Here is a 22,303-nt window from a genome sequence, read left to right as displayed (position 1 = left end):
TTTCTTTATTGCTGTTTGAGAACTGACTCATCCACTCATTACCCGTCTGCATTCTCCCCAACACAGCCTCAGTAACAAAAACCCACCATTATTGAGAACAACCACTACCTGCCAAGAAATGTAGCCTGTGGGCACCTAGGAATCTAGTGCTGTGGACTGGCAGTAGTTAAGGCTCCCAAGGTCAGGCTGGAGAGGAGGCCCAGGAATCCCTGACAGGCTCCCTTCCAGCCACAGTGGCCAACTTGTGCCATTCCTCTCACCCAGCCACCCCCTCCCTGCCCTCCTCTATGGTCCTCCTGTGCCCAGGAGCTCAGGGAGCCACCTGCTTCCCCCACAGCTCTCCAATAGCACCCACTGTCCATCCTTCTCCGGGACTTAGCATTCACCACCTTCCTCTGGTGGGTGCTTCTATTTTTATTTCTTGTGTTTTTTTTTTTCTCAGTGCCCTCACTTTAACAGTATGCTGGCTACTTCTTACTCAAGCAGCTCTGTGCTCAGTGCAGCCTCCTTGCTGGCAGAGCTACATTGCAAAGCACTAAAGGACACAGACAAGATCGCTGGGTGGCTGTTGGTGAGCTTTGAGGAACCGTGAAGGATGAGACAGGTGTTCCAGATCTGGAAACAAGCAAGGTGCTTCTGGGTTTCCCAGAAGTGGGCAGAGTATGTGAATCACAGATGCACCAGCCCAGGATCTAGTGTTGCCAGAGGACGGTTTGTGAGCACTTTAAGAAGGGAAGCAACAATTTCCATGGGTTCACTGAAAATGACTTGAGGATGGACCTCACTTCCCTGTTTTCTAAGTTTTTTTTAAAAAACAGCTTTACTGAGATATAATTAACATACCATAAAATTCACTGTACAGTGCATTAATTTTTAGTATATTCAGGTTGTGCCAACATCATTACCATGTAATTCCAGAACGTTTGCCTCACCCTAAAAAGAAACTGATACCCATTAGCAGTCATTCCCCACTCTCCCCTTGCCACCCCTATCCCCCAGCAACTACTAGCCTTTCTGTCTGTATGGATTTGCCTCTTGTGGACATTTTGTAGCCCAACAATATTCCACTGTATCAATATACCACACTTCGTTTCTTCACTCATCAGGTGATGGACATTTTGTTGTTTCCACCTTTTGGCTCTTATGAATAGTGTTGCTTTGAACGTTCATATACAAGTGTTTGGACATATATTTCCATTTTTTCGTGTATATACCCAAGATTGGATGCTGGGTCACATGCTTATTTAGTTGTGAAACGTTACTGTCAAGTTGATCTAACAGAAAACCACAGCTGACCTGATGTTACCACTCAGGGTGAGCAACGCCCTCTAGCAGGCAGGCTCTTATGGGGAAGAGAAGTATGGATACAATTAGGCGGACTGGCTGTTAGTTAAAGCCACCTGGAAAGGGTGCTGACTCTCAGATTCGCTGGTGACACAAAGTTGGGGCAGAATCTAGGCCCAAAAGATCTCAGCAAGCTGGTGTGATGTCCACAGATAAAATATAGCAAAGAAAAATGCAAGGTCCTGGCTGGGTGCAGTGGCTCATGCCTATAATCCCAGCACTTTGTGAGGCCGAGGTGGGTGGATCATCTGAGGTCAGGAGTTCGAGACCAGCCTGACCAACATGGTGAAACCCCGTCTCTACTAAAAATACAAAAAAATTAGCCAGGCATGGTGGCGCATGCCTGTAATCTCAGCTACTCAGGAGGCTGAGGCAGAAGAATCTGTTGAACCTGGGAGGCAGAGGTTGCAGTGAGCCGAGATCGCACCACTGCACTCCAGCCTGAGTGACAGAGTGAAACTCAGTCTCAAAAAAAAAAAAAAAAAAAGAAAAGAAAGAAAAATGCAAGGTCCTAAACAAAGAATTACCATAGGATCCAATGGAGTCTGGACACTAGTATTCTTTTTTTTTTTTTGAGATGGAGTTTCATTCTTGTTGCCCAGGCTGGAGTGCAGTGGTGCGATCTCAGCTCACTGCAACCTCCACCTCCCGGGTTCAAGTGATTCTCCTGCCTCAGGCCTCCCGAGTAGCTGGGATTACAGGCGCCCACCACCATGGCCGGCTAATTTTTTGTATTTTTAGTAGAGACAGGGTTTCATCATGTTGGCCAGGTGGGTCTCGAACTCCTGACCTCAGGTGATCCGCCTGCCTCGGTCTCCCAAAATGCAGGGATTACAGGCGTGAGCCACCATGCCTGGCTGACACTAGTATTCTTAGCAGCATTATTCACAGTCACCAAAAGGTAGAAACAACTCAAATGCCCATTGACAAAATGTGATCTATACAAACAATGGAATTTCATTCAGCAATGAAAGGGAAGTGAACTCTGACCCATGCTCACAGGCTACAACATGGGTGAACCTTGAAGACATTGTGCCAAGTGAAATAAGCCAGTCGCAAAAAGGGCACCTCATTGTATGAATTCACTTATCAGGTCCCTAGAGTAGTCAAAATCATCGAGACAGAAGTAGAATGGTGACTGTCAAGGGCTGGGGAGGTGAATGGGGAGTTAGTGTTGAATGGGGACAGAGTTTCAGTTTAGGAGGGTGAAGACATTCTGGAAATGGATGACAGTGATGGTTGCATAATAATGTCAATGTTGTTGCCACTGAACTCTATACTTAAAAATGGTTAAAAATGGTGAATTTTGCTGGGTGCAGTCAGGCTTGCCTGTTATCCCAGCACTCTGGCAGGCCCAGGCAGGAGAATCACTTGAGCCTAGGAGTTTCAGACCAGCCTGGGCAACAAAACAAGACCCCATCTCTACAAAAAAATTAAGAAAGTACCTGAATGTGGTGGCCCACATCTGCGGTCCCAGCTACTCGGGAGGCTGAAGGGGGAGGATCACTTGAGCACAAGAGTTTGAGGCTACAGTGAGCTGTGATCACTCCAGCCTAGGTGACAGCATGCGACCCTGTCTCAAACAAAACAAAACTGCTAAATTTCACATTATGTATATCTCACCACAATTTTTAAAAAATGCAAGGTACTGGCTGGGAGCAGTGGTGCATGCCTCCAATCCCAGCACTTTGGGAGGCTGAGGTGGGAGGACTGTTTGAGCCCAGGAGTTCAAGACAAGCCTGGGCAACATAGTGAGACCCTGTCTCTTCAAAAATATAAAAAAATTAGCAAGGCATAGTGGCATGTGCCTGTGGTTCCAGCTCCTCAGAAGGCTGAGGCAGGGGGATCATTTCAAGCCTGGGAGGTCGAGGCTGCAATGAGCTGTGCTCATACAACTGCACTCCAGCCTGGGTGACAGAGTGAGACTCTGTCCCAAAACAATTAAAAAAAAAAAAAAAAAGCAAGGTCCTAAAACTAAGACCCCCACAGACTGACTTTCCCAGCACAGGTTTTGAGAGAAATGGCGCTCACTTGCAACTGTGACCACACCTTCAGGGGACTGGGACCCTACAGTGAGTCAGGGAGGCTGCCAGAAAACTCATGGGCGAAATAAATCATAGTGGCAAGTACAAAAAGTCCTGAATCCTGAATGCAAGGGCCACAGTCCTACCCACCTCATCATGGTCTGCCCCACTCCACACAGACCTCACACTTCAGGGAGGCCATGGGCCTGGTCAGTGGGAAGCAGCCAAGAAGACGAATGGACTTAAGACCCCACACAGGCCGGGCACGGTGGCTCACGCCTGTAATCCCAGCACTTTGGGAGGCCGAGGTGGGTGGATCACGCGGTCAGGAGATCAAGACCATCCTGGCTAACACAGTGAAACCCCATCTCTACTAAAAATACAAAAAAAGAGCCGGGCATGGTGGCAGGCGCCTGTAGTCCCAGCTACTCGGGAAGCTGAGGCAGGAGAATGGCGTGAACCCAGGAGGCGGAGCTTGCAGTAAGCCGAGGTCGTGCCACTGCACTCCAGCCTGGGTGACAGAGCAAGATTCCGACTCAAAAAAAAAAAAAAAAAAAAAAGACCCCACACAAGGACAGGACAGGGGTGGAAGGAACAAGTGGGATCTGGCAAAGAGCTGCCTTCAGATGTTGCCCAGGGGCCCAAAGGCTGCCAGAACTGGGCTCTGTGCATGGAAATGGGTGAGACAGACTTTAGCTAAGTGCAAGGAAGTGCCTTCTGGCAAAACGGCCAACTGGAACTAGACCTGAGAAGTAAAGAGAGCTTGCACAAACCGGCTGGGAGGGACAGTCTCTGTTACACGGAGTCCCAGTCAAAGTTAACAGGTTCAGTGTGGAACTTTCCAGAGCCTTCCGTATGTGTCCAAAACTTACAAGAGGGAAACAGAGCACACAGACTCATCTGACCACACAGTCCTCTGCATTTGGGGATTTTCTGTTGAGAAGACGTACCTTGGCAATGCGGTTTTTCAAGGAAACCCTCTGAGAAGCACTTCTCTGGTCAAGTCAGCCTTAGAAGGGGTGGCCCAGTTAAATGACCACTAAGGGCAGGTACAGTGGCTTGAACCTGTAATCCTAGCTACTCCAGAGGCTGAGGCAGGAGGACTGCTTGAGCCCAGCAGGTCAAGTCCAGCCTGGGCAACACAGTGAGATCTATCTCTTAAAAAAGAAAAACATGACCACTAAGGTGCCTTCAGTGCCAAGAGTCTGGATAAATGTCTTCTGCCCACCGCTCACTGCCCAGCACACATAGCGTGTTCCAACAGAATTCGCAGAACAGGCTGAAGTGATCAATGTGGTGCATATGACACGCCAATCATTTGGGACATGAACAAAGAGTGAGCAGAAAGGAAGGAGAGTGAAGCGAGTAAGGGAGGAACTGAAAAGCCTGGGTGTAAGGAGACAGCAGCGCCCAGGAACAGGAGACAAACTGACTAGGCAGATGGGAGGATAAGTAAAGGTCAGGGAATAGGCAGGAATCTGTCCTCAGCTGGGAGAGGAAGCACCAGGGAGACGGCTTCCCAGCCCACATAAGCCGGAGCTAGCGCAGCCTCCCGCAGACACAGAGGGGCTGTCACATGTGAGGGACAAGAGGCTCTCCCCAACACAGGGAGGGGGATGAGAAAAGCCATCCTCTGGCAGGGCACGGTGGCTCACGCCTGTAATCCCAGCACTTTGGGAGGCTGAGATGGGAGGGTCAACTGAGGTCAGGAGCTCAAGACCAGCCTGGCCAACATGGCGAAACCCTGTCTCTACTAAAAATACAAAAAACTAGCCTGGTGGGGTGGCGGATACCCACACCTGTAATCCCAGCTACTCAGGAGGCTGAGGCAGGAGAATTGCTTGAACCCAGAAGGTGGAGGTAGCAGTGAGCCAAGATTGTGCCACTGCACTCCACCCTGGGTGACAGAGTGAGACTCTGTCTCAAAAAAAAAAAAAAAAAAAAAAGAAAGAAAGAAAAGAAAAGTCATCCTTTTACCTCTGGGGTTCGAACTGAGAGGAGTCTAGAAGACTTGGGAAACCTTCCTTTCAGGCCCCAAAGCCTGCAACGTTCTCCAGGCCTAACAAAAAAGGTCAAATATGTCAGAAAAGACCTTGGCAAGCTTAGGAAATATTGAAGGAATTCCAACTTCTTTCTTTTCTTTTTTTTTTTTTTTTGAGATGGAGTCTCGCTCTGTCGCCCAGGCTGGAGTGCAGTGGTGCGATCTCAGCTCACTGCAACTTCTGCCTCCCGGGTTCAAGTGATTCTCATGCATCAGCCTCCCGAGTAGCTGGGATTACAGGTGCCCACCACCACACCCACCTAATTTCTGTATTTTTAGTAGAGACAGGGTTTCTCCATGTTGGTCAGGCTGGTCTCGAACTCCTGACCTCAGGTGATCTGCCTGCCTCGGTCTCCCAAAGTGCTGGGATTACAGGCCTGAGCCACCGGGCCTGGCCCCAACTTCTTTAAATGGGCAAGAAAATTTGGTTCAATTCCTTTGGAGAGAATGTGCTGGGAAACAGAAGCCCACTAGCCCAGTGGGCAAGTCCCATAGAAGGAAAAGGGCCATTGGTGTTCTGCTGAGAGCCACCAGCTGGGTACAGGAATAAAGTGAGTGTGGAGATATGACCATGTAATGTGGAGGGGAGAAGGGCAGGAGAGAAAGGAATCCTGAGCCAACCACCCCCTTCAATCCCAGCTGCTCAGTCAGGGCTGCTTTCTTTTGTTCCTGCTGGAAGCATCAGCCAAGTTCCCTTTATTTAAGTCCTGGCAGGACTCTAAAGCTACCACAGGCCGGGAGCGGTGGCTCATGCCCGTAATCCCAGCACTTTGGGAGGCCGAGGTGGGCGGATCACTTGAGGTCAGGAGTTGAAGACCACCTGGCCAACGTGGTGAATCCCCATCTCTACGAAAAATACAAAAATTAGCTGGACCTGGTGGCGCGTGCCTGTAATCCCAGCTACTTGAGAGGCTGAGGCAGCAGAATTGCTTGAACCTGGGAGGTGGAGGTTGTGGTGAGCCAAGATCATGCCACTGCACTCCAGCCTGGGCGACAGAGTGAGACTCCATCTTGAAAAAAGAAAAAACCAGCTGGGCACAGTGGCTCATGCCTGTAATCCTAGCATTTTGGGAGGCCTAGGCGGGTGGATCACCTGAGGTCAGGAGTTTGAGACCAGCTGGCCAACATGGCAAAACCCTGTCTCTAATAAAAATACAAAAATTAGCCGGGCGTGGTGGTGGGTGGCTATAATCCTAGCTACTCAGGAGGCTGAGGCAGAAGAAACTCTTGAACCCAGGGGACAGAGGTTGCAGTGAGCCGAGATTACACCACTTCACTCTAGCCTGGGCAAAGTGTGAAACTCCGTCTCAAAAAAAGAAAAAACCAACCACCCCACCAAACAAAAAGTATAATAAAAAGAAAAAAAATAATAAAGCTACAACATCAGTGGCACCCCCTCTCCTATGGAGCCAGGATATATACACCAGAAACCTATCTTTCTCTCTTCAAAGTGACCCTTGGAGGGTTTGTCTAGTCACTTCCTTTAGGGCCTGGATTTGCAAGACAGGCAGGAAAAACCTCACATCTTCATCATCTCACTATTCTATCTGCTTCTCTCAAAATGCCTGATGTCTACCTAGGGAACTGCACACAGCAGGGTTCCAAACATGTAGTAACTAAAACTGGTCGGCTTTGCAGTTCACGAGGCATTGTCTCATGTACTGATCCTTTTGATCTTCACAACAGTCCTGTGAAGAATTAATCACAGCCGCCTGCCTTTATGGTTGCCTGAGAGCTTAGAAGTGCCAGGCACTGTCCTAAATTACCTCACTGAACACAGCAGTACTGTGAAGTGGTTATTAGTAGCCCCGCTTCAGAGATGGTGAAAACTGAAGTAAGTGAATTCCTGGGGATCAGAATGAACCCGGGGTTTCAAGCAGACGCTAAGCTTTCGAGTACAGTAGGAACGATGTACCCGTGAACTTGGAAGGGGCTAGAGAAGGCACAGTGTGTGCTCAGTGTCCCCATGTCCAGGTCACTGTTGTAACTGTGAGAGTTAGACATTTGGCAATTATCTCTCCAGATGTAGACAGAAATGATAGGAGTCACGTTTCTGAATATTTGTGGATTCTGATTTTGGCCTCAAAGCATGGTCCCATGGCTACCGACATATGCAAAGGAATTCATTGTTCGCCAAGAGGAATGCTGATGTTGCCGCCTTGCAGACATTCAGAGAAACAGTCTCACCAGCCATACCCTTCAAATGAATGTCATCTGATGTAATCCTTCAAGGCTCCTCTGAGGGGTGTGGTGCTGTTTGGCTGATGGAGAAACAGGCCCACCAAGGTGGATCAGCCCAAGATCATCAGGCCCAAGGAGGACCCCCAGCCTGACCCCCTAACCCGCAGCTCTGCCCCAGGCTGGGTGATATGGCCAGGAGTTGGGTTTTAGGGAAGTGAGACTTGATTTTCAGGTCAGTCCTCATAATGCCAAGGTTGCCCCTCCAAAATAGTTCACAAAGACAGAAACTGGAGTTAGGTATTTGTTTTGTTTGTTTTTTGAGATGGAATCTCCCTCTGTTGCCCAGGCTGGAGTGCAGTGGCGCAATCTCGGCTCACTACAACATCCGCCTTCGGGGTTCAAGAGATTCTCTTGCCTCAGCCTCCTGAGTAGGTGGGACTACAGGACCCTGCCACCACGCCTAGCTAATTTTTTGTATTGGAGTTAGGTATTTGAAAAGATAAAGGAAAATAGACAAGATAAAGAATCCTCAATGTGCTCATCACACAGGCAGGTGTGGCTGAAGGAAACTGGGAGTGAGGGGCTCAGCCTCCCAGGTAGGGTCCAGGGCCAAACACACCGGGGGAAGGGGGAACACTTATCTTTAACCTGCTAGAAGGTTCTCCAAGCAACTGCAGTGTGAAAGCCCCTTAAGACAAGGCTACCTGCAAACAGATGATCTTATATCAAACTTCTGAGCCTCTGGGAAAGGCAAATGCAGGTGGATTTGTTTTCTTCATTCTTGAAAGGTCTGTTGCTCCCTCTCCTTCCATGAAAATGCTATCACATTCCTTGCAATTTGGAATCCAGCCATGTAGAAAGGGAACCCCACAGAATAGCACGCCTGGCACCCCTCCCCTGGGCAGAGATGCCCTTCCCAGCCCCAGAGCTCCTGAAAGTGGGAGGCCTGGGGAGGGAGGATGAACCTCAATCCAGGAGGGAGGCCCTGGCCCCAGTGAGACCCCACAGAGCCCCAGCCCTGGGCCCAACTGACCGGGGCCTGCTTTCTCCCCACATGCTTGGCCTAACCCTGGATCCCTCCCTCCTTATTTCAAATGATCACCGTCTTTCCTTTTTCTCCCTACAGCCTACATCTTTCAAATGCTGTCAGGCTTATTGGAGTTCCCTGAGCTCCCAGCTCCTTCTCTGCCAACATCTTAGCTCTTTTTTTCCCTATAATTTAAACGTTAATCCATATACATATATATTTTTAATTAAAGGCAATCCAGAATAGACCAGGTGTGGTGGCTCACACTTGTAATCCCAGCACTTTGGGAGGCTGAGGCGAGCAGATTGCCTGAGGTCAGGAGTTCAAGATCAGCCTGGCCAACATGGTAAAACCCCATCTCCACTAAAAATGCAAAAATTAGCCAGGCATAGTGGTGAGCACCTGTAATCCCAGCTACTTGGGAGGCTGAGGCACAAGAATTGCTTGAACCCGGGAGGCAGAGGTTGCAATGAGCCAAGATCGCACCACTGCACTCCAGCCTGGGCAATAGAGTGAAACTCAGTCTCAAAAAAAAAAAAAAAAAAAAAAAAAAGCACTTTGGGAGGCCGAGGCGGGTGGATCACCTGAGGTCAGGAGTTCGAGACCAGCCTGGCCAACATGGTGAAACCCTGTCTCTACTAAAAATACAAAATTAGCCGTGTGTGGTGGCGCATGCCTGTAATCCCAGCTACTCAGGAGGCTGAGACAGGAGAATCGCTTGGACCTGGGAGGCGGAGATTGCAGTGAGCCAAGATTGCACCACTGCACTCCAGCCTGGACAATGAGAATGAAACACCTTCTTAAAAAAAAAAAAAAAAAAAAGGCAACCCAGAACAGTAAAGAAAAACTACCCGTAAAAAGACCCTGCACCCCTGTTTGCATCCTAGAGCTTCCTTGTGGACTTGTGGCCTTTTCCCATATTTTCCATTTTCTCAGTTCCTTTCATCTTTGCTATTGTTACTTTTTAGAGATAGGGCCTCGCTATGTTGCCCAGGCTGGAGTGCAGTGGCTATTCACAGGAGCAATCCCACTGCTGACCAGCACGGGAGTTTTGACCTGCTGCTTCTGACCCGGGCCAGTTCACCCCTCTTTAGGCAGCCTGGTGATCCCCCCTAACCCCACCTCCCCTCTTGGGAAGTCACCGTATTGATGCTGAGCTCAGTGTGGGCACCCGATGGGCACAGACCCCAGAAAGCCCAGAACTCTTGGGCTCAGGAGATCCTCCTAAGTGGCTGGAACTCCAGGCATGTATCACCACGCTCAGTCCCTTTCATCTTTATAGTCTCCAGACTCTGTTAGGGGGAGACTCTGGTTCCACTGGCAGTTGGAAAGATTCTAAACCAGCCCCACCACCCTCTTGGGAGAGACTTGGCCCCATCTGTAACTTGAGACTGCCATGAGCCTTGTGTGCCTTGCAGAGTGGTCGAGGGGCCCAAAGGAAATCATCCCCTTGCACAGGACACAGGCCCAGGTAAGCTATCGGTGAGGAGGCTATTTTTTTAAAGTAGCACTTGTCTGCGGTCATGAGGAAGCAGACAGTTCCCAGGGCTTCCACTCTAACAAGCTGCCCACACCCAACTTGTCCCAGACAGCCTCATCTTTAGCTTTCTGGGGAAAACCCAAATCCGCCACCTGCCATGGTCACTGTGCTACCGCTCCACAAAGCCATTCCTGAGTGACTGTTAGGGCCCAGTCCTATCAGAGGATAAGGCCCGCCTCCCCAGGTCTCCTGGAAAAGGCTTCTCAACTCATCTACTAGTTGAGGCCACCACTGAGCGGTAGAGTGAGGCGTGACTGTGTGGGCCGCTTGACCATCTGCTGCTGTGCGTGCCCACTGCCTGGGAAAGCCCCCAGATCCGCCAAAGGGCCCGAGGTGACTCCGACCCCAACCCCACCCAGGGCCAGCTAGCAAGAGGACAGCAGCAAGGGACAATGGCTGGTCTCCGGCGTCCTCCCGGTTTCAGGTCCATGAGTCAGTCACTTATTCTCTTGGCTTCCACTGTGCAGAGAGCCCCAGGCTTTCTTGGTTTTCTAACTTCCCTCCCAGGAATTATCCTGCCATTCATGGAAAAAGAAGCTGGCCAGCCTTTGTCCACCAGAGGTTCAGCTGTTGGAAACTCCCCAGGGATCTCTCAGATAGGGTGTTCTCAGGAGGGTAGCAGTGCCCCAGAACACGCCTTAGTGATGGGAGGGGGTTGCCTGCATCTCAGGGACACCAGGACACAAGAGTACCTTCTTCTCTTCACACAGAAAGGCTTGGAATAGAAATCACGCATTGCCTTTTTCAACAGCCAGGCGCTGGCCCCACAAAGTGAGGTCCCCAGACCAGAGCATCACGGTCACCCAGGAGTGTTACAAATGCAGTCTCAAGTTCTACCGAGACCCCTAGACCTGCTGAATCAGAGCCTGCATGTTCACAAGCCCCCCACACCACAGCCCCTGGGCACGTTCAAGGCAGAGAAGGGCAGCACAGACTACACCCACCGGCAGGTGGTCTTCCCAGGGGCCCTCCTGGGGTTACCCTATGGGTGTCCCCAGCTGTGCCTATCTAGATGAGCCTCGGAGACTCCCTAAGGTCACAGGACTGTAGTCCCTCTCCCTACATCCCTGCCTGCAAGGTTCTCTGAGTTTCTAGTTTTCTCTGGTTGGGTGGGTCCTCCCCAGCTGTCAAATCACCTGCTCCTCCTTCCTGCCCAACCAGCTGCGGGCTGGGAAACAGTCACTCCCAATGCTCTAGCTGCATGCAGACTGAGGGTGGGCAGGCTCTGAAAAAGGGCCAGGGGACTCAGAGATACAAAAGCTTTGACCCAAAGTTTTCATCATCCAATCAAACCACTCATAGCCACTTTTGTCCGATAAACTCCCAGCTCTCCTTGTGCCCCAAACACTCGGCTTATTCACTCACTGCAGTGAGTGTGATACTAGCTCACTGCAGCCTCCAACTCCCAGGTTCAAGCAATCCTCACGCCTCAGCCTCCTGCCTAGCTGGGACCACAGGTACGTACCTCCTATGCCCAACTAGTTTTTCATATTTTTTGTAAAGACAGAGTTTCGCCATGTTGCTCAGGCTGGTCTTGAACTCCTGTACTCAAGCAATCCTCTTGCCTCGGCCTCCCAAAGTGCCGGGACTACAGGAGTGAGCCACCTTGCCAGGTCTGCATAAAAGTTCTGAAAGGAGGCCGGGTGCAGTGGCTCATGCCTGTAATCCCAGCACTTAGGGAGGCCGAGGTGGGTGGATCACCTGAGGTCAGGAGTTTGAGACCAGCCTGGCCAACCTGGTGAAACCCCGTTTCTACTAAAAATACAAAAATTAGCCGGGTGTGGTGGTGGGTGCCTGTAATCCCAGCTACTTGGGAGGCTAAGGTAGGAGAATCACTTGAACCTGGGAGGCAGAGGTTTCAGTGAGCCGAGATCATGCCATTGCACTCCAGCCTGGGCGACAAGAGCAAAACTCCGTCTCAAAAAAAAAAGTTCTAACAGGAGAGTCCTGAGGGGCCAGGAAACTGGGTTGGAAGGGCCCCTGGAAACCTAATTCTTCTGGAATTCCCAGGAGCCCTGTGGATATCAGGGAACAGATGTTCCCAAACAACACAGGGTTTCCACACTAGACTCCATTTGGGCTGTGCCTGGTGCAGTTCCAGCAGTGCCAAGGTCAGGGAAGGAAACGGCCAGAGGGAGGCCCCGACGAGGGGGTGTGCAGTGGCCCAGGGGGCACAGGTCTCAGAGCAGGCCAGGGCAGCCAGCCCAACGCAAGCGGACTACAGGGCGCCAGGCCATCACCCCAAGTGGGAGATGAGGACACCCTGGGCTGCCACCCATGCAGCTCTCGACATTTCCTCTCCACCCACTGCTGCCAGCAGGACCTTTTCCTGCTTTCTCCACTCCAGGCCCACACCACCTTAAACCCAGCAGCCCTCAGTGGAAAGAACACTGGGCTGGAACATAAGTGCCCTAATTAAGGCCATGACTGCACACCGAGTGGTCATGAGGTCTTGTGCACAACCTGAGAAGGTGGTCACTTACCTTTTTCCAGGTCTCACTTACAGGTGTGTGCCCGTGTGGGTCAGTGGCTCTGCTGGAGGGAACCGCATGACCCCACTGAAGGCTCACATTACCTCCCATGGCCGCAGGGAGCTGTGAAGCTCCTCTCAGCAGTCATCAGGGCCTCAGTGCAGCTACAGCTGGCAGAGCTCAGAAGCCTCCACAGAGGTCAAGGTGCCCACTCTGCCATGGCCTTGGGCCAAGCCCTGGGCTGGGCGTGGGGACTGCAGGAAGAGGTTAGCCACTTTCAGCCATGAACATTCTGTCTCTGCTTTCCCAGGGAAACTCTGGAAGGTGGGGGAGCATCATAAGAATCAGCAATAACCGGCCGGGCACAGTGGTTCATGCCTGTAATCCCAGCACTTTCTGGGACCGAGGTGGGTGGGGATCACCTGAGGTCAAGAGTTCAAGACCAGCCTGGCCAACATGGTGAAACCCCATCTCTACTAAAAATACAAAAATTAGCTGGGCATGGTGGCGCATGCCTGTAATCTCAGCTACTCAGGAGGCTGAGGCAGGAGAATAGCTTGAACCCAGGAGGCGGAGGCTGCAGTGAGCGGAGATCATGCCACTGTACTCCAGCCTGGGTGACAGAGTGAAACACTGTCTCAAAAAAAAAAAAAAAAAAAAAAAAAAGAAGAGAAGAGAAGAGAAAAGAGAGAATCAGCAATAACAGACAACGGACAGACCTAAGTGTAATCAACTGGGAATTGCAGGGTTACAGGAGAGAGGCTGTGGGGGCCATTCAGCTCAGTGAGAGCAAGGCCTGGGTGGGGGGAACCAGAGAGAGAGAAGACTGTGACAGCCAACTGGAGTGGGCCTTAAGGGTCCACATGAGGAGTCTAGACTTTTTTCCTTGGGCAATAGGGAGCTACCGAATGTTGTATATTGCCCCACCCCAACCCAAAATAACTTGTGAAGAGGGAAGCAAGGTAATGACATCTTGGGCTCTGGTGAGCCCGGCTAAAACATGTTGGACGGATGGGGGAGGCCAGGTCTGAGGCAGCTACTACAGGCTCAGGGCAGGTGGTCCAATAGGGCCTGGAGGTCAGGCTGCCTGCAGAGACTGTGCCAGCCAAGGCCCTGCCTGGCTATGCAGGGGATGGTGTCGAGGATGGCTGAGATTTGGAGGCTGGAAAGCTGGGAGGTGGGAAGAACATTAGTGAGACGGGCATGTGACACTGGACAAGAGTGCAGGCCACTTGGGTTCAAATCCCAGCTCTACCGCTTACAAGGTGTGTGACTTTAGGCGAGTTCCCTGGCTTCTCTGTGCCTCAGTTTCCTCATCTGTGAAATGGGGTCTGATATCGTACCTCCTTTGGAGTGTCGTGAAGCATGAGTTCCCATGTGGAAATCGCTAAGCACAGCCCTGCACACAGTCAGTGGGGCTGTTAGGTGGCATTAGGGATACCCAATGATCCATGAAGTCAGCCATTATAGGGTGGAGAGGCACGACGCATTTAGAGAGGAGGCAGAGACCTTGTCACCACCAAAGCCAAACAGGACAGCATCGGAGGCCAGCATTTCTCCAAGGCTGCAACAGAGTTCACTAGGTCCTCGTGGGCAAAGAGTGAGGGCTGTCAGCAGCCAGATTTTTTTGATCAGGGCTGTCCCAAGGCACAGTGGGTGCTCAGTGAGGGGTGCTGGGGAAACCTGGGGGTGGAGATGTCAAACCCTAGAGCTGGGATCAGCTACGGCCCTGTGGGGTGGGGGTCTCTGCTGTTTCACCACCCAGAAGGGGCAGAGTGGCCAGCCGTGGGCACGAGGCAGGGGGCCATCCTCCTACTTCCTGCAAACCTGACCCGTGGCAGGGGGCTGAGGCGTGTCTGCCTTGGATGTGGCCCGCTCCAGGGCTCTGCCTGGCCTGGAAGGATGCTGCCACTGTCACTGCCAACCCAGGTCTGAGCTCCAAAACCAAAGAATTTCCCTTCATTCAGCAACATGACTGGGAGTAAGGTGTGCTAGGCTAAGATTAAAAAATAAAATAACAGGAGGCCAGCATGGTGGCTCACACCTCTAATGCCAGCATTTTAGGAGGCTGAGGCAGGAGGATCACTTGAACCCAGGAGTTCAAGACCATCCAGGGCAACATAGTAAGACCTATCTCTCAAAAAAAAAAAAAAAAAAAAATTGCCAGGCATGGTGGCTCACGCCTGTAATCCCAGCACTTTGGGAGGTCGAGGTGGGCGGATCACCTGAGGTCCGGAGATTGAGACCAGCCTGACCAACATGGAGAAACCCCGTCTCCACTAAAAATTAAAAAAAAAAAAAAAAAAAATTAGGCCAGGTGCAGTGGCTCTCGCCTGTAATCCCAGCACTTTGGGAGGCCAAGACAGGTGGATCACGACAGCCTGGCCAAGATGGTGAAACCCCATCTCTACTAAAAATACAAAAAATTAGCCGGGCATGGTGGCAGGTGCCTGTAATCCCAGCTACTCGGGAGGCTGAGACAGAATTGCTTGAACCCGGGAGGCGGAGGTTGCAGTGAGCCGAGATCGCACCACTGCACTCCAGCCTGGGCGACAGAGTGAGACTCTGTCTCAAAAATAAAAAAAAAAATTGAAAAAAAAGAAAAGAAAACCAGCCCTGAACACCCCCCAACACACACTCACACCTGACTTATACAAAGGCCTCCAAGCCAACAGAGGTGCCCTTAGCCACAGAAGCCCAGGAGCCACTAAAGGAATGAGGACCATCAAGGCATGGCAACTCCTGGCCAAAGATAGCAGCTGGAGCCCCTTCTAAGAGGAGACGAAATCAGGGGCATGGCACCCCCGATGAGAAAAAGAATAAAAGAGGTTTGGGGAGGGGGTCTGGGGAGACACAGGGTAGCAGCCAAACGTTTTCTAAGACAGTGAGCAGTCAGGAGGGTGAGGCAGAATGATCAAGCCCTCCAAACCCAGGGGGCGGGCCCACCATGCCAGGCTCTTTGGAGGGAGGAAGGGCAACATGAGATGGAAGGAGGGGTTCCCTGAAAGCTGGCCTGGGAGCGGTCGACACAGACAGCCCACTCAGCACCAACTGCACACACAGCACTCCTAGCTGTGGGTCCACCCCCACAGGCAAGAGAAAAATCACAGGGAATCCCAGTGAAAATGATGTTCCACAGGAAAGACCTATGCATTTGGCCTTCAGGAGCCCCCAGGAATGGGCTGCTCCCTGCCTGGCCTCCAGAAACCAAGCCTGACATCAAAAGTCCCTCCCATGTACACAAAAGTACAGATGAGCTGGGCGTGGTAGCACGCCCTATAATCCCAGCTACTCAGGAGGCTGAGGCAGGGGGGTCACTTGAACCCAGGAGGTGGAGGTTGCAGTGAGCCAGGATCTTGCCACTGCACTCCAGCCTGGGTGACAGAGCAAGACTGCCTCAAACAACAACAACAAAAACAAACAAACAAACAACAACAAAAAAACACAGATGGACATTGGGAGGCCAAGGTGGGCAGACTGCTTGAGCCCAGGAGTTTGAGACCAGCCTCAGCAACATGGTGAAACTCCGTCTCTACTAAAAAAAAAAAAAATTAGCCAGGTGTTGGGGTGCGGGGACTCGGGCAGAAGGATGGCTTGAGCCCAGGAGGTCGAGGCTGCAGTGAGCCATGATCGTACCACTTCACTCCAGCCTGGGTGACAGAGCAAGACCCTGTCTCAAAAAACAAAAAAAATACAAACGAAAACAAAGCACACAGATGGACAGAAAAGAGCCCTGGAACGTTATTCAGTAAAAACCCACCTCTCCTTCCTCACTAACAGAACCCAGTTTTGGCTCCATCCCTCAGGGAATGGAAACTACCCCGGATGGGCTGGTGATGGGATGCCAGAGGCCAGCTTGGGGCACACATAGAGGAAGATTTCCTCATTGTTTATTTTTTCTTTTTTTTTTTCACTTCTAGCTGGTTACATGTTAATTTCCTCATTGTTTAGAAGAACTCTAGGTCTTTCCTGCCTCTGGATTTTGTCGCAGCTGATGTGACTCGGGGAAACTCACACCTTGCCACCTTGACGCCAGCACAGAGGGTGGCAGAGGGCAGAGGACGGAACCCAAGTCCTGGATGACAGCAGCAACCAACCACTGCCCCAGGGCCACCCTTGTCCTCTGGACGCCCTCATCCATGAGATGATCCATTTCTTTATTCATTAGTGAGTTTGGGGCAGAGTTTTCCATCATTTGAGCCAAAGGCCTCCCAAGTAATACAGGCAGAACAGCATAGATCGTCTCTCACAATCTTGTGTAAGAACATGCACCCAACCAGCTGGAGGTGACCCTCGGGAACAGCTGGAGGTGACTCTCGGGAACAGCTGGAGGTGACCCTCGGGAACAGCTGCAGGTGACCCTCGGGAACAGAACAGCATCGGCTTCCACTCTCTACTTCCTAAAGATCTTTACAGTTTTAAAGGAAATTTTCAATGGGGAACACTATAATTTGATAACAAAAAATAAGTTTTCCTTAAGTCATAAGATTCTTATCTCCCATTTCCCTCCAAACCAGTAGATCTCAAATTTTTCTGGGGTGAGGAGCTGTACACCCCCTTGAAAAGCAAGGTCTCCCAGCAGGTGTGAGAGTGCAATTCCACACACTATTGGCGAGAGTTCCAAGACCGGAAGTCAAGAGCTCCTGCTCCAACCACGGGGCTAAGCAGACACCCAAGGCTAATTAGCTTTTGTTTCTCATTTGTCTTTTTTTTTTTTTTTTTTTTTTTTGAGACAGAGTCTCACTCTGTCGCCCAGGCTGGAGTGCAGTGGTGCAATCTTGGCTCACTGCTTTGCAGGTTCAAGTGATTCTCCTGCCTCAGCCTCCCAAGTAGCTGGGATTACAGGCACCCACCACCACACCCTGCTAATTTTTGTATTTTTAGTAGAGACGGGGTTTCACCATATTGGCCAGGCTGGTCCCAAGCTCCTGACCTTGTGATCCACCCACCTCGGCCTCCCAAAGTGCTGGGATTACAGGCGTGAGCCACCACTCCCGGCCTCATTTGTCTTTTTCATTGGGAGTTTTTAAGCTCAAACACACCATGGACCACCTCTTAGGGGAAGCCATAGGAAGGCAAGCCTTCCTAGGGTGGGGAGTGTTACCCCGGGGCTCCAGCTGTGAGCGCCAGCTGCGAGGCTTCCTCAGCCCGCAGAAGAAGCAGATGCAGGTCCTGCTCCTTCTCCAGTGCTAATCTTCCAAAAGCAACTCTGGGGTCCTGGAACTCAGGCCTCACTATGCTGCCTACCCAACTGGGGGGACACCAGGCTTCCACCGTGTCCCCTCTGGACCTGAGGCCACTGATGGGAGGAAAGGCCGAGAAGTGAGAAAGGGGACAAATGAGATCAGGCTCTGGATTCAAGATTCTAAAGCGACTGCCTAGCATGGGGGCTGGCTAACTTGGGCCTGCAGGCCAAATCATGCTCACCAAGTGTTACAGGAACACAGCCATGCCATGCCATTTGCATATTGCCTGTGGCTGCTTTCATATCACAATGGCAGGCTGCAGAGGGACAACAGAAACCTTAGGGCCCAAAGCCAAACAGATGGATTATCTGACCCTTAACAGAACAACTTTGCCCACCCATGGCCTAGAAAGAATCTTGGAAGTCACACAGCCCATCTCCTAGCCTCCATAAGCTTTCGGCCCTTCCTAACTGCAAGCCTCTCACGCCAGGGAGTCAGAGTACCTCCCTTCCAGTGAAACTCCAGAGAAAGCAGCTCACCACCTTGCAAGACCTTTCGTTCCATTTCTCAGTAACTCCGATTGTGGCCAGGTGCGGTGGCTCATGCCTGTAACCAACACTTTTGGGAGGCAGAGATGGGAGGATCACTTGAGCCCAGGACCAGGCTGGGCAACATGTCAAAACCCCGTCTCTACAAAAAATACAAAAATTAGCTGGGCATGGTGGTCGTGCCTGTAGTCCCAGTTACTCAGGAGGCTAAGGCGGGAGGATCACTTGAGCCCGGGAGGTGGAGGTTGCAGTGGACCAAGACTGTGCAACTGCACTCCAGCCTGGGTGACAGAGAGAGACCCTGTTTCAAAAAATAGTAATAATAATACTAACTCCCACCATGAGAAGGCTCTTGCTTCCCGATGGCTGCAGCTTCCTTTCCTTGAGCCCTCACTGCCCTCCTTCTGCCATCCAAGGTCAAGCACTCACCACTGAGATCAAGTTCTCAGCCCCCATTCTCTGTCTCCAGGAGGTTCATCCCAAGGGCCTTCCCTGCTGCCTCCACCCAGGGCCTGAATCCCTTCACAGTCCTTGGTGGCTGCTCCTCCCTGGCTGTGCCCAGAACGACCAGGAGCCCCTGCTTTGAATGCAGCAGCCTGAGGTCAGAGTGTCCCCAACTCTCACATCCTCTCAGGGTCTGCTCAGCTACTGGAGTGTCCTCCTGTATGTGGGTGGTGGGTGGCTTCTCGGGGAGTGACATCCCTCCCATCCAAACAGCATCATGTTACATCCAGCTTGCTGTCAGCATTTGTTGAGCTTCTCAAGGGCCAAGATCCTTCCAGATTATACAAGTATATATAAACTGGCACCTGGCAGGTGCTTAGCTAAATGAATGAAAAAATGAATGAGTGAATGAATAGCTCATAGCAGGTTGGAAAGGGGCTCATGGTGATCATCGTCATCATCATCATGATATGGTACCACAGGAGCACACACTAGCAGACATATGGACAGTGCTGGCCACAGAAGCCCAGAGCTGGGAACACTGGAGGAGACCTAAGTGGACTCTTAGGTCATTCGCCCATCTTTAGAGACCCACTAGCTCAGCCACGACATGAACCCACACATAATGTAGCCCCATGCTAATCAAAGCCCCTGCAGGTCAATGGAAGAAGTATTCCTGTTTACCAGTTGGACCAGGGGTACCACAGAACCTCTGCAGCCTTGGAACGTGGAAGGCCATGTCTTGGCAGGTCATTGACCACAGGTCAGGTTTCATCTTGCTGGGAATGGAGGATCATGGTCCATGCTCCAATAACTCAAGGTTATTCCTGCCAAGAAGCATCTAGAATTTAGGATCAATGATGCCCTTTGGCCACCAACACTCAGGGGACACAGAAGCAGGAGGAGGCTATAGAGGGGTGTTCTGGGAGGACTGTAAAATGTGGAGGAGGCCAAGTGTGGTGAGTCACGACAGGTGAGTCCGCGACAGCCTCACCCGAAAAGTGGCTGTGGGAGTGAGCTAGTGTGTGAGCACGCAGGTAGGCATGTGTGAGTGTGTGAGGTTGCACATGATATACAGAGATTTGTGAAGTCTAAAGCTAAAGACAAACGTGTGCCAACCCCAGATGTCAGTGCCCTGAGGATGTGCTGGGCTCCTAACTAAGATGAATATCAATTGTAGACAGCCTGGCACCCTCTAGCTCCCAAGACCTGATTTGTGGACTCTTAGGCCATTCGGCACATCTTTGGAGACCCACTAACTCAGCCACACCATGAACCCATGCAGAACATAGCCCCATGCCAATCAAACACCCTGCAGGTCAATGGAAGAAGTATTCCTATATACTAGTTGGTCCAGGGGGTACCACAGGGCTGAGGGTATAAAGTTAGTTTGGTTGGTATACAACAACATTTAAGAAAAGAGAGAGAGAGAGAGTCTGGCCAGGCGAAGTAGCCCATGCCTATGATCCCAGCGCTTTGAGACAAGAGAATCACCTGAGCCTAGGAGTTCAAGACCAGCCTAGGCAACATGGCAAGACTCTGTCTTGAGAAAAGAAAAAAAAAAAAAAGTTAAAGTCTCCTGGACCTTACAGCTTTGAAATCAGGCACTTTTTAATAATCCTGCAAGGGAGAAGGGGGAAAGGACCTTTCTCTTTCTGTATAATGTAACACTTTAATAACTGTTTTCATCACTCAACTTCAAATTTCCATTATTCAAATTCTCATAAAATTCGATGGCTCTGTAACAAGGATGGTGGAGGAGACATCCCAGGGAGAGGGAGGTGTGGAGCGAGGAATGAGGAGGAAGAGGGAACTCCCTACAAAGATAAACCCACCAGCAACTGTGGAAGCTCCTTCCAGCTCCTCCTACATGGGTTAATCATGCGTGCTGGCAAGTAAAAGCAGCCAGCACTTAAACCCGTCTAAGACACAGTTCCAAGGCATGGGGTCTTTCTGCCAGAAACTAAGACCCAAAACAGAAGGCTGACCTAAAGCTATCCTCCAGAATTCAGACAAGCCCTAGGTCCTCTTACCCTACCCCCCAATTCAAAATTGTCAAATGTACAAACTCCAGTGCAGGTGAGAAAATTTCACATCTAAGGTGATCACTGTTGACTGAAGCTATAGCCAGGACAAGTCAGTACCTCTTGCCTTTCTCCAAGGAAAAAGAAAGCACTTAACTTCTTCCTTTTATTTCCACCCATCTTTCCCATTTTTAGAGTCAATTCACTCAAAAGATCAGGATGCCAGTATGCAGGCAGCCTCACCTCCACCTCCCCAGTAAGCCTCCCTAAGAGGGCTCACTTTACCTCTTTGGAAAATTCCCAGCCTTCCAAATCTACACCCGCTTCTCTCTCCTTTAGAGACAAGACTAAGGAGGAGAAAAAGAAACTGGGAGAGGAGAGGGGACGAGAAATGAAGAATTCCACGACAGCCTCACCTTTTTGGGTTTCACTGGTGTCTTGGTAACGCGGGACTCTGGCACTGGCAGGACATCCATGACATCACCGTTTCAGATTCTTAAGAAAAAGACAACTTTCCCATAGCCAAATGTTCCTCTTCCCACCCTCTCTTTGGGGAATTAAAACACAAGCTTTTAGTATGCTGCAAAAACCTTGCGGCTGCATTTTAAGATGTTGCATTGGGGTCCTGCCTTTAAGTGGCTGCCCTCATTGCCTCCCTTTGAAAGAGGCCTCCAGATAAGTCCAGGGTAATTAAAATTTCCTGTCTAACCTTGACTGCTCCACCAGCTCACGTTACAGCCACGGATACACGCTGTAGAGTCAGTTTCTTCTGGGCCTTCTCATTCTTTTAAAATCAGGCCACTATTCTCTTGGCTCAGGCTATCCAGTAACAGGCTTGGAAATGGAGAGGGAACTTTCTCTGGCCGGGCTGATGGTGCCTCTGGCTTCCCACACTCATTAGAAAACACTCTTTCTTCTACAACACACCATTTAGGAGCCAGCCTCATTTGTTAGGTCCTAAGGACTCACAAAGGACACCACTCCAAGCACCCAACAAACTCAGAGGCTGGGAAGGATCCAGTTTTTTTAAGCCTTGAAAATGTAAGAAATCCCTAAGCCAAATACTTTTAAATAGGAAAATCAAATTTAAACGATCAAAGCATGTCTCCCAGTATCTGTATGAATCTTTCTAGCCCCAAACAAAAAGACAGGGTGTACTTTGTACTGGTCTAATCAGGTTATATACTGCAAGGGGCCCAACGAACTAAGGCGACATCAGAACATGAATCTAGAAACTGCTTAAAAGTGAAATTCTTAAGCCAGGCGCGGTGGCTCACGCCTGTAATCCCAGCGTTTTGGGAGGCTGAGGCGGGTGGATCATTTGAGGTCAGGGGTTCAAGACCAGCCTGGCCAACATGGTGAAACCCCATCTCTACTAAAAATACAAAAATTACCTGGGCATGGTGGTGCGCGCCTGTAGTCCTAGCTACTCGGGAGGCTGAGGCAAGAGAATGGCATGAACCCAAGAGGTGG

General features: G+C 50.7%; 1 protein-coding gene and 1 pseudogene across 3 annotated transcripts in view; both read right to left on the bottom strand.

Moving 5' to 3' along the window:
- The window catches only part of EFHD1 (EF-hand domain family member D1), a 76,720-nt gene that overhangs the window by 23,046 nt on the left and 31,371 nt on the right, over positions 1-22,303 (bottom strand). The window contains exon 2 of one of the 3 annotated variants that reach the window (NM_001308395.2): positions 21,247-21,325. The exons of the other annotated variants lie outside the window; for them this stretch is intronic. The gene's annotated coding sequence lies outside the window, so the exon portion shown is untranslated. The remainder of the gene's footprint in view (positions 1-21,246; positions 21,326-22,303) is intronic. 3 annotated transcript variants of the gene reach the window in all.
- Positions 9,584-9,877, bottom strand: RN7SL359P (RNA, 7SL, cytoplasmic 359, pseudogene; annotated as a pseudogene).

Source organism: Homo sapiens, chromosome 2 (assembly GCF_000001405.40).
Source record: "Homo sapiens chromosome 2, GRCh38.p14 Primary Assembly".
NCBI classification, from domain to species: Eukaryota; Metazoa; Chordata; class Mammalia; order Primates; family Hominidae; genus Homo; species Homo sapiens.
Note: the sequence above shows the minus strand (reverse complement) of the source record. Positions and strands in the feature narration are given on the sequence as shown.